Source organism: Homo sapiens, chromosome 8, assembly GCF_000001405.40.
Source record: "Homo sapiens chromosome 8, GRCh38.p14 Primary Assembly".
NCBI classification, from domain to species: Eukaryota; Metazoa; Chordata; class Mammalia; order Primates; family Hominidae; genus Homo; species Homo sapiens.
The window spans coordinates 109,400,011-109,413,209 of NC_000008.11; the positions used below are offsets into that span (position 1 = coordinate 109,400,011).

The 13,199-nt window shown below is 34.7% G+C and overlaps 1 protein-coding gene across 5 annotated transcripts in view; it reads left to right on the top strand.

The window, feature by feature from the left end:
• PKHD1L1 (PKHD1 like 1) overlaps positions 1–13,199 on the top strand; it is a 174,747-nt gene that overhangs the window by 37,550 nt on the left and 123,998 nt on the right. For 4 of the 5 annotated variants that reach the window (NM_177531.6, XM_011517371.3, XM_017013971.2 and 1 more), the window contains exons 13-20: positions 66–334; positions 1,487–1,578; positions 4,544–4,703; positions 4,985–5,120; positions 6,325–6,468; positions 8,039–8,196; positions 9,855–9,968; positions 12,255–12,404. In NM_177531.6, the coding sequence (NP_803875.2) occupies positions 66–334; positions 1,487–1,578; positions 4,544–4,703; positions 4,985–5,120; positions 6,325–6,468; positions 8,039–8,196; positions 9,855–9,968; positions 12,255–12,404 (1,223 nt within the window). The remainder of the gene's footprint in view (positions 1–65; positions 335–1,486; positions 1,579–4,543; positions 4,704–4,984; positions 5,121–6,324; positions 6,469–8,038; positions 8,197–9,854; positions 9,969–12,254; positions 12,405–13,199) is intronic. The other variant, XM_047422420.1, reaches the window with a different exon arrangement.

A 13,199-nucleotide genomic window follows, 5' to 3' on the forward strand; every position in this document is an offset into this window, starting at 1 on the left:
AGAAAGCCATTGAGGCATTGCATTATGATCCTGATGAAAGTCTTATTTTATTTCATTACACTTAGGAGGGAGAGGCCTGAAGCTTGAGGTGTGGAATAATAGCCGTCCAATACGTTTGGAAGAGATACTGGAATACAATGAAAAAACGCCTGGGTACATGGGTGCCAGTTGGGTAGATTCAGCTTCCTATATTTGGCTCATGGAACAAGACACATTTGTTGCACGCTTTAGTGGATTTTTGGTGGCTCCAGATTCTGATGTTTATAGATTCTACATCAAGGGTGATGACCGTTATGCTATTTATTTTAGCCAGACTGGACTTCCAGAAGATAAGGTAGGGAAGCCTCAGAATACTATTTGATACTGTAAAAACATTATGGTGATATTTATATGTATCTTACTCTAAATCAAAACGAATGAACATTTTTAAAATGTATGAGAAATGATGTCATGTGGTTTGGCTCTTGGCTATTATCCTGGATATGATACAAGATATAAGATGATAGAAAACCTATAGCCTACAAGAAAATTTCCCGTACCTGAAAATATTTCATTATTCTACATTAACTTGGTTATGAGATAAAATTCATCTCTCTATTTTTTATAAATAGAATTATACATTTAATTTCATATGTAGTTTTTCACATATTAGTATTAAATACTAATTTTATTAAATAATTTATGTAATCACTAGTTTTAATGACTAAGCAGTGTTATTACTTGGGTTTACCAAGCTTAGATAACCATCTCCCTACTGATAAGTTTTTATTTACTTCTGGTGTTTTATGACCACAAATAATACTCTATTGAACATCTATGATCATTAGACTTTTCTGTATTTGGGGTTACTTTGTTAGGACAGTTTCACAAATATGAAACTAACAGATCAAATCAAAGTAACATTTTATGACTCAACTTATGTGGCAAGATTGCTTCCCAAACTGGTTGTGTAAGTTTAAATTGCTATCTGTAATTTATGAATTCTAATTTTTATCATAGTTTGTACTCCAAAGCATGTGTACTCCAAAGGTGGTATAATCATTCCTAATGGGAAGCCCAAAGTCCTCTCACTCTAGTGTGCAGAACCATTTAGCAATCTTTGGCAATCTAATTTGGATTAAATCTCTCAAAGTTCTCCACAGAGCAAAAGAATATTTTATTTGTCAATAACTACCTTTTTCCTGGTAAGTATCTTCTTAGTTTCCACTGCAGTTCTAATTATGGAAAAGCTATGATCTGCGTAGTATACTTAGTACAGTAGTGTTGATGTTAGTGAATGGTAGAAGGAATGAAGTGAACTTTGATAATTTAAAAAAAATTTATAGCATAGTAGATAACAGATCTTAAAAGAAAAATATAAAGTAGTTTTACATTTTTCTACTTATGAAACTTCTAAAACTGAAATAATAAATGATAAATAAATAAATGTTGAAAAGGTCTATTAATAAATTCTCCCTTTTCTCTGTCTCTGTCTCTCTCGGATTAGGTGAGGATTGCATATCATTCTGCTAATGCCAACAGTTATTTTTCCAGTCCAACACAAAGATCAGATGATATTCATCTGCAGAAAGGAAAAGAGTAAGGCTTTTTCCTGTCATTAAATTACTGTGTGGTATTTATAAGCTTTAAGTTTATATTTTAAAATATTTTCAATTTATTTTTATTGGTGGAAGTGATATTAGTTTATTGGTTTAATTTATAATTGGTCATTCTCTATAATTTTATTCAAATGTGTTTCTTGATTTTCAAGAATACTGGCATTCAACTAACCAGGGAAATTTGAAGTCTAGATTAACCCTGTTGCAAAATTATACTTTTGTGAAATGTACTTGATCCTGTTCTTAGTTCTTTACTTGGACCTTTCAGTCAATCCACCCATTTAATTTCTCTGTTCCTGCAGCTGAGCTCTTCAGTATTGCTAGGGAAAAATCACTAAGCCACATAGATTGTTGCCACTTTTAATATGTATTTGTTATTAACTGGTTTATTCCAGGCCCTGGGCCAGGTACTGGAAATTTAAGAATATTAAAATACACTGCCAGAACTGAAAGAGCATTCATTTAGTGTTGAAAGGTCAAGTCCAAGGAGCCAATGAGTGGGATTATCATCCAAATACCAGATAATCCCATTCAAAAAGCCATTCAGAATTCCTAGGAAACAGGAAGATAAAAGACATGATACATTGAAAATGGAGAAGGTGGTGGAATGGAGTTACATGAAGAACATCAAAAGATGCATTTGCATCTGCTAGACTTTACTATATAACAAAGCACCTCAGACTGTAGCAACATCAAACAAGTGTGAATTATTTTGCACAATTTTATAGTTGGCTGAGCGGTTCTTTTAGTCCTGGCTGGTTTATTTGGGGACTGGTAACCTAGAATGCCTCACTCCATGTCTAGAGCCTCAGCAGGCATGGTTGAGTCTTAGATATTTGGGGCATCCCATTGCACATGGTCTCTCATCATCCAGGAGACTAGCCCCGGTTTGTCACATTGTGGATAGCTAATGCATACTGGGCTTAATACCTAGGTGATGATGGGTTGATAGGTGCAGTAAAGAGGGGAGTCCTAATGCACACACACTCTGCAATACTCTGTCTGTGTCATATTTGCTAATATCCCATTGCCCAAAGCAAGTGGCCAAGCCTAGACTCAAGGATGAAGAAATAGACTTCCCTTCTTGATGGGAGGAGTGCTTTTTTCTTTTAAGTTTACCACATCACCCTTTCAGATATTGAAGAAGTTATGCTCAGAGGCAGCATCATGAGGATCTTTTGGAATTGGACAAGGAGGGTTGGGATCAATGGAACCTGGGAGCAAATTAATGTTCTCACACTCAATGTTCTTGCTGAGGTCTTAGTAATACTGACATGGGGAAAGAGTTTCATTCCTTTTTTATCCTCTTTCTTCTGCTTTCACTTCTTTAGACATTAAACATTTTCTTCTATAACCATGAAAACTACTGGGCCAGGTCAAGATAAATGGAGTTCTTGATTAATCCCTACTGCAATTAAGTGTCAGTACATTTTCAGACTTTGGCTTGGTTTTGGAAAATGAGTTCAGTCTACCAGCTAGGCAGGAGCACAGAGTTTGAATGAAAGCAACTCCTAATACATCTGCTGCCTGGTATCTGTGCTCCTGCAAAACCAGCTTGGAATTTACATACTGTGCTTACAATGATGGCTATGAAATCTGAAATTGAGGCCACTCTAGCTGGTTTATTGTAAAGTGGCTCTTCAAGTCTTTCCAAAGGTAGCTCATATTGCTAAATCATTTTACTCAAATATTAAAAACATAGCTTCACCTAGTGCATATCTTTTTGGTCACCTTATTTTGTTTGGAATTCTCCCTCAGTTACTAGTTTAAAAAATTTTGAATCCTTAAAATTCCCTTAGCATTTGTTATTCATATGGATAAAGGAATAATATCTATTTTATGAGAATTTTGTGAAGATTAAACGTAATAATGTCTGCAAAGTGCTTAGTTTATTGTCTAGCACAAAGAAAGTGCCCAATTAATAGTTTTAAGCCACAAGTAAGGATGCAAAATTTTAATGGTTCTTCTTTGAATTCTGCTCTTTAATTAGTGTTGGTCATCTCAAGTCAGAAGAGCTGATGAGCAGGTTCTTATGGAAGTCAAGAGCCTGATATAATCCCCAAATATCAGTTCCATTGGGCAATGATCCAGAACCCTATCATTCTACACATATGAAACATGATAAATTTCCCTCATTCAGACTCTTTCATGAACTGTGGATACTTATTCTTCCTATATAAGAATATATGTTGAGTGATGTGAGACAATTTAGGGAAGCTCCCAGCTGTCCTCTCCAAAGATGTGAGCAATGGTGACATTGCTAGAGATTTAGAGGAGAAGTAGTAGTTTTGCACTCTCTTGTTAACAGCTGCTCAGTGAAGGCACTACCTTGGGTACACAGTAGGATGAGGGGCAGGAGACATCAAGAATCAGGAATTCAAAATATAAAGTGAAAATCCCATCCAGCTAATTGGAGGATCATAGTAAATCTGACCGGTAAAAGTTTCCTGAGGCAATGTTTTATTCCCCAAGTTACAAATGGAGCCAAATTTAAGGAATGTGAAAGTAGGAACTTCTACTCCTGACAAATATAACTACTCAGATATAAAATATATGCTATGTCTAAGCCTGCCATTTTCTTGAACACATTAAAATATTTAACCTCTGCATGTTGTCTGTGTTATATACCAGGGACAGGGTTATTTTTCAAGATGTTGAGTATAAGAAATAGTATTGTCTTCTATAAATATTTATTGACTAAGCTGAATGAATTGGTTATGAATGAGAACAACTTTCTACTAATGCAGATATCTTACATAATTCATTTTATTTTGGCAAAATGCTGTGAAAATTTTAACATTTGAATATTTAAAATATGAGATACTACAATATAAGTCATTTAACAGGCAGGCTTTTAAGATAATATTGATATTTTATTCATTAAAATAATTTCATGGCAAGTGTTCTGGAAAAAAGTTATATTCATTAGTTACTCTATTTTCCAGATACTATATTGAAATCTTGCTGCAGGAGTACAGATTAAGTGCATTTGTTGATGTTGGACTGTACCAGTATCGAAATGTTTATACTGAACAACAAACAGGAGATGCAGTGAATGAAGAACAAGTTATCAAATCCCAGTCGACAATCCTCCAGGAAGTACAGGTTTGCTATGATTGCAGTTCCTCTTACAGAAAGTAAATGTTCGAAGGCAGGATCTCAATTTGATTATTAATTTTACTAGGTAAGATACTGTTTTAGGTGAAAGCAGTCATGGACAATTATTAAATTATGACTTTGAGTATTTGTACGATAAGCCAAAAAGGCTGTTACTTGTCATTTGTAGTAAAATAGAGCAATAAAGTGGCATTGAATAGCTGAATTATGATGCTTTTAAGATATATATATTTTTCATATATTAAAAATGTTTCTTAATTGGAAAATAGGTTATAACATTGGAAAACTGGGAAACAACTAATGCAATTAATGAGGTTCAGAAGATCAAGGTAACCAGCCCATGTGTGGAAGCTAATTCATGTTCACTTTACCAATATAGATTAATCTATAATATGGAAAAAACTGGTAAGTTATAAATAATAAGGGAGATACTGTTTCTGTTCATGTATAGATGTAGTCATAAAGTATTTGCTGTAGTCAAATTACACTGTCTGGAAAATATAGTTTTGATGATATGCTAGACAAAGAAGCAGAAAAATGTATTATGGAAAAAAGCCTTCAGACTGGGATAGAAAATGACATCCATACAAATAACTTTGTGGCATATACCATCATTTTCTAATAATAATGATAAATATATATCTAAATGCACATGGAATTTATATATTTGCTACTCATAGGTGTAAGTTAAGAAAATAGGAATTGTGAATAGTCAACCCAAATGCCCGTCAATGATAGACTGGATAAAGAAAATGTGGTACACCATAGAATACTATGCAGCCATAAAAAGGGATGAGATCATGTCCTTTTCAGGGACATGGATGGAGCTTAAAGCCACTTCCTCAACAAACTAACTCAGGAACAGAAAACCAAACACTGCATGTTCTCACTTATAAGTGGGAGCTGAACAATGAGAACACATGGACACAGGGAGGGGAACAACACACACTGGGGCCTGTTGGGGGGTGGGGTCGGCACGGGGAGGGCATTAGGTTAGGAAAAATAGCTAATGCATACTGGGCTTAATACCTAGGTGATGATGGGTTGATAGGTGCAGCAAACCACCATGACATACGTTTACCTATGTAACAAACATGCACATCCTGCACATGTACCCCAGAACTTACAATAAAAATAAAAAATTTAAAAGGAATTAAATTCATCATTGCACAGAAGTAAACATGTCTTTCAATTTTTTAAATTAAATGATAGGCCTATGGAACACCAATTTATCAGCCAATAAACAACATTGCATTTCTATATTTTACAATAAATCCTAAAATACAACTTTTGCTACTACTGTTAATTGTTTTAACCAGTAAATATTGATGATTGCTTATTCTTTGCCAAATCCAATGATTATTACTGTGGGAATATTAAAACAATAAAATATCAGCCCTGTCCTCAAAGAGATCACAAATTAATTAAATAGTCAATATTACTGAACTTGAATCAGTTTCAAAATACAATTTCTCTAAGTGATAACTTACATGGTACAGAGTATAGGTGCTTTAAAAATATAAATACGAGACATCAGTGTTGGCTGCAGTAGCTCAGAAAGATTTCAACTTTTCTGTTTGTTTGTTTGTTTGTTTTAATCCAATCAAAGTCTTCCTACCTGCTGATGCTTCTGAATTCATACTGCAATCAGCCTTGAATGACCTCTGGTCTATAAAACCGGACACAGTTCAAGTAATAAGAACACAAAATCCCCAGAGCTATGTCTACATGGTAACATTCATATCAACTAGAGGTAAGCATGTACTTAATTTTGTACTTCTGTAGGAAACAAATGTATATCCTGTGCCACTCTAAAAGTTCCATAAGATGACAGAGAAAAAGACTTGGTTAATCTTAGGAGAAGCAGAAATTAAATGGTTTTTTCTACGGTAATTTAAATTTTAGTTGTATTTCAAGGAATGTACAACTCTAATGCATGAGAAATGCACTATACATACTACAAATGCGTTTTCCATATAATAGCCTACTTTATAAATTAGTAAAAACTAGTGAAAATATTCATTCTGAAAATAAAATTTAGGCAAATCACTATTGTCCAGGAGACACTCATCTGGTCAAATCTTGCCTACTGAAAGGATTTTGAGGTCAAATTCACATGGGAGACACTGTATACCATGGGTCTTCCTTGAAGATTGACAGAGCTCATTGGAATATTAAAATCCCTGAGGAGTCCTGCAGTATTAAAAAAAAAAGGAAAAAGAAAAAAATCAATTTACCTGTGTTTAATGCAAACGTATTTTATATTTCCATCTTTTTTCAAGTAATAGCTATTAACCGCCTATTAATGTTTTACACAAAACACTTTTGGAAATATTGACATAGACATTCTGCCTTCAAGTCAGACTTCGCAACTAATTTGGCTTTTTGGTATATTTAGCTCAGAAAGTAGGTCCCTGAATGTGTGTGTGTTTACTTTTCTTTGGGCAATCATTGTTTTTCAATATGTAAGTAAAATGTTACTTCAATATTTATGTCTCACTTTATGTAATTGTTTATTTGATTGTTGAGTGGAGGATAAAGAATTTGATTTTACATGAATTTAAGTTTTAAAAAGTGTACAAAAGTTAGATTGTCAAAATACTTATGAATAAACATATGGATATCCTTTTTGATGTATTTTTATACATCAGAGAGAAATTTTAAGGCTTCAGCAGAAACCTTAAGAAATATGGTGCCCAAATCCTAACTGGGCAAATTTTAAGACTTTACCCAACAAAAAGGGTCAAAAAGATCAATGAGATTCCACTGGTAGAGCATCCTTTCAAAGAAGAGAGACATTTGAGGACAGGCCTTATTCCTCTCAAAGTGGCAAAGCCAATGATTATCATACTAAGTGGCATGGTATGAACAAACCTCACAGATCAGAGATTGTTTCCTGGAATTCAGCTTTGTGCCCTATTCATGTCTAAAGAAAATAGAAATATTCCAGCTGAGCATTTGCACTAAAATAATGGTACTAGCACAAAACTAAAAGAATTTTTGGAATATCCTACTACTCATTGATCTTTATTCATGGTCCTAATACATCTGTCTATCTTACAATACTTCCTTTTAAGCTATAGAAACAGCACCTTAAATATATAGCACTTTGTCTGCTTTGCTATTTATGCTATGGATAAATCTGCTCAAATTTTAAGGATCTACATCGCCCCCATTCTTCCTTCTTTTCTGATAATGGAGCACCAAATGAAACCAATTTGGCTACATTTGAGTGTCTATTAAATATATATAAAATATATAGTTTTATATATAGGCATTTTATTAGTTAATGTCTACAAATTCTGTTTGTCACTTAATTTCAGGAGACTTTGATCTGCTTGGTTATGAAGTAGTTGAAGGGAATAATGTCACACTGGATATTACAGAACAAACCAAAGGAAAACCCAACTTGGAGACATTCACACTGAATTGGGATGGGATCGCTTCTAAGCCACTCACTCTATGGTCATCAGAAGCTGAAGTACGGTGTAGGAATGTTTCTACCACGCATTTTCCCTGCACCCTCTCACATCATTCATGGGCCATTTGTAGACAGATGGGAAAGAGATGTTACTTCAAAAAAAATCACTGCAAATTATTTATCACCTGATCAACTCACCACAATTTATATACTGTGATACTTTTATCTGAAAGGAGACTAAGAGTCAACCTAGTGCAGCCACCTCTTTTTCCAGACAAGGCATATCTCAAAGGTTCCAAAGCCTTGCCCTGCCTATGTGTAGAAGCTTTGAGTCCCTCTATGCACACTGGAGTTGTTCTTCACTCAACATCCAATTTGTTATCCTGTAAAATCAGAAATTCCTTGAGAGATGTAGTGCAATAAAAGCTTAGCTATAAAGTATTGGTTAGTTTAAATATCCTATTATTTTATTGATGTATTTTTATACATCAGAGAGAAATTTTAAGGCTTCAGCAGAGACCTTAAGAAATATGGTACCCAAATCCTAACTCAGCAAATTTTAAGACTTTACCCAACAAAAAGGGTCAAAAAGATCAATGAGATTCCACTAGTGGAGCATCCTTTCAAAGAGGAGAGACGTTTAAACAGAACACCATTTAAATGTCAACCTTTTATAAAGAACACTTTAAGGAGGAGTAATACATTCTTCCATTTGGCGTGATAGGTTGGAGCCTACCCGTAGTGAGGAGAGAAGGGAGGAAATATTCCAAAGACAAGAGAAGGAAAGGGAAGATCTTAGGTCTGTGCCAACAGGGCCTAATGTATCTCCATAGGGGGCAGCCATTCATAAAGAAAGAATGCTTGTGAGTTACAACATTTTGACAACTATCTGGACAATGAATTTAAGTTAAAATCTGTTTGCAGATTAAAGAGTATATATTGTCTCAAGCCCTTAATTCTAAGCGACAATTATTTCTGTGCTTTGCTGGAGAAAATGATATGGAAATTTTAGGAGACTTGTGAATATGTACTAATTTCTGCATAATCTGCAATAATTTATTATTTTTTGAATAATTATAAATACAAGCTTACAGTATATGCATGTAACCTTTTTTTTTTTCAAGACGGAGTCTCACTCTGTCACCAGGCTGGAATGCAGTGGTGTGATCTCCACTCACTGCAACCCTCCACCTCCTGGGTTCAAGCGATTCTCCTGCCTCAGCCTCCTGAGTAGCTGGGACTACAGGCGCTTGCCACATGCCCAGCTAATTTTTATATTTTTAAAAGAGACAGGGTTTCACCATGTTGGCCAGAATCCATTGGCGTGTATAGTTTTTTTTTTCCAGTTAATTTTGAGTTATTTGGAAAAAGTATTTATTTGGAATCTATCTAATTGGGTACTAATTAATTTAGGTTTGCTTCATTGCTCTCTTTAAAAAGGTACTAAACAAATATGTCTGCCTTATAACTAAGTATGCTATTATTAGCCAATTGTATGTAACTATTGTTATTCTAGAATAAAAGTCTTGAAAACTCATTAGACACTAAAATTATCACACTAACTTAAAATTATTTAGAAAATTAACTCATAATCATGACTAAAATATGGGAATTATGAAAATGTCCTATTAAAACTAATTAGTAGAATCAGTAGTAGGATTACGAGTGTTCTAACTTTTCATGAAAAGAAGTTACTAATGTTTATATTGTTAATTTAGTTTCAGGGAGCAGTGGAAGAAATGGTTAGCACTAAGTGTCCACCACAAATTGCAAATTTTGAAGAAGGATTTGTTGTGAAATATTTCAGAGACTATGAAACTGATTTTAATCTGGTATGAAATATTTAATGAACTGTGAAACTGACCTAATAAGAATTTATATAATGGTTTTAAATTTTATAATTTCTCTTCTGAAGTAGCATTAATAACTTTGTTATTCACAGTCAAATTGCAAAAATGACTTTGTTATACATTTGTTGTAAGGGCTGTTGGTAGGTGCTATTGGTACTGCCGTCTATGATTCGTTTGTTAAAAAATTTTTACTACTCATGAATTTTCTTGCTAGAAAGTAGGAAAGCTGATCAAAGGTAAGATTTGCAGTGTTTTTGTTTATTTTGTGTATAGGCCATTGTTGCGTTGCTATAAAGAAATACCTTAGACTGGGTAATTTAGAAAGAAAAGAGGTTTAATTGGCTCACAGTTCTGTAGGCTGTACAGGAAGCATGATGCTGGCATCTGCTCGACATCTTGGAAGGCCTTGGGAAACTCTCAATCATGGTGAAGGCAAAGGGGGAACAGGCACGTCACTTGGCTTGGTGAAGAGCAAGAGAAGAGAGTGGGGCGGTGCCACCCACTTTTAAACAACCAGACCTTGTGAAAACTCACTCACTATCATGAGAACAGCACCGATGGGATGGTGCTAAGCCATTCATGAGAAATCCACCCCCGTGATCAAATCACCTACCAACAGGCCCTACCTCACACTTTGGGGATTACAATTCAACATGCGATTTGGTGGGGACGCAGATCCAAAATCATGTAATTTTGTTGGTATTTTCTTTTTTCTTTTCTTTTCTTTTTCTTTTTTTTTTTTTTTTTTTTTGAGACGGAGTCTCACTCTGTCTCCAGGCTGGAGTGCAGTGGCACGATCTTGGCTCACTGCAACCTCCACCTCCCAAGTTCAAGCAATTTTCCTGCCTCAGTCTCCCGAGTAGCTTGGACTACAGGCTTGCGCCACCATGCCTGGCTAATTTTTGTATTTTTAGTAGAGACGGGGTTTCACAATGTTGGCCAGGATGGTCTCGATCTCTTGACCTCGTGATCCGCACGTCTTGGCCTCCCAAAGTGCTGGGATTACAGACTTGAGCCACCGCACCCGGCCTTGGTTTTTGTTTTCTTAGCTTGGATGCACAGTATATCCTTTCTCCTCATTGACTTCAGAGATTATAATTTATGGTGGGGCATTATATGTTTTTATGTATTATGTAGTTTTATATAATTGCTTCTCGACATAACACTCTGGTTAATTAGTACACGGCCCAGTCATTATTTATTTCTTAATGAGATATTTTCTTTAATATAGAGTAAAGGAAGAAAATTGAATATGTGCTTTCTAATTCTCATTTTCAAGACTTCAGGAAGCCAGCTATTTGCTATTTCCAAGTGAAAAACTGTAAGAATAAAAAATGTATACTCTAGTTATTTAATTCAGATTAATACCCTGGATATGAATATAAATCCTTAAAAATATCTCTCATGATACTTTTCATGAGCAGATTAGTGAGAAAAAATCTTTCCATTTAATAGATGAACTTTTCAACTTCATTTAATAAGCATATGTGTATTTATGTTCTATTTTGAACGTAGTACTAGCAGCCATGAGGATGGTACATGTAATTTACCTCCTACTCCTTTCCTACTTCATTTCTCATCACCACCCTCACATGCATTTCCATGCTGCACCTAACCTTACAGTTTGCATTCCCAGCACCATGCTCTCTCACACCTCTGCTTTTTTGCACACATTTTGGACTCTCTCTGAAGCCCCTACTTTCTTTTTACCATTTGCACAGTGCCTTTGACACCTCTTTTCCATTCCAACAGCTGCTATTTATCTTTAAAGACTTAACTCATTTGTCACTTCCCCTGAGTCATCTTTCTTGATGCTTTTATGTGAGTTAGATGCCTCCCTTGAGCCTTAGTACGATAATCATTGGCTTCTTTGTCTTAGACGGGTGGCCTCTATCTACAGGGGGATAGGGTTCTTCACCACTTGAATCCTGAAGATTAAACAGCAAACACGCAAACAAGCAGAAACCTGACACACAGTAAACACTGCATAAACACTCATGGAGAGAATGAATAAATACCCGTAAAGAGCTCACAAAGTAAGGAAAAAAATCAAACTTGGGAACTAGTCAAATACTGGTATAAAGGATTATATAATTATGGATCCGAATGAGAGCTTTAGATTTCAGACAAGGAAGAAAACATCTAAAGTTAAAGTAATCAGGGAAACAATGGGATCTGGGTTGAACCTTGAGTGGTTTGGGTGCACACGTTGGGGGAAAACCAGAACAATAAATCATGTTTTCATTTGAAATATTATTGTTTCGGTAGGAACATATTAACAGAGGGCAGAAGACAGCTGAAACCGATGCTTACTGTGGTCGTTATTCCCTGAAAAACCCAGCTGTTCTTTTTGACTCAGCAGATGTTAAACCAAACAGACGACCATATGGAGATATTTTATTGTTTCCTTATAATCAGGTAAGCTCAACAAAATGATATGCTAATTGAATCTGGAAAATACCTTGGTAATAAAATTTCATGAAATTTTAAGACAAGAAAAAATATTTGCCATATAAATAGTATGTCATATTGTAACAGGCACCGAAGTGTACATTCTGGGTGCTTGTGGTTTCCTCTTCTGAGGATTCTCAAAATAATAGATATATTCTATATATATATGTATATAGCACCATATATCATGTATTATATTTCTCTTTTAATTTCAGAAAAAAATATTTGCACACAAGTTTAAATACTAAAATAATTAAAAATGTATAAGCTTCTTCATTTTTCTTCATTAATTAAGAAGAAAGAAAAATGGCTAGCCATCATAGGATGATCTTGGATATCCAGTCAGGGAGAAGTGAAACAAAATTAGGAGCAGAGGAGATGGCAGTTTTAGTGAGGGTATTTAACACTGTTAATCATAGATTCACCCTTTCTCTTATTTTAAAATTCTCAAATTGTGGCACCTATCCTAAAATTCAAAGTTCTTAATATATTTGGCATGCTTAAGGACTTGGGGACCATTAAAATTGGTATTTAATTACTATTTTACAGTGACATTCATCTCTCTCTCTAAATGTTCAATGATATTTACGTCCCATTTAATCTGCCTGAATGTTTACCTCTCTTCTTTTCTATGTGCATTGGACTTTTAAATTTACTGAGTAGCTTAGAGTTAGTACATAACTCATCTCTACAGAGAGTGAATTGTTTCCAGTTTTAAAGGAAACTATACCTAAAAAGAAATAGAGAATTATAATTAATTGT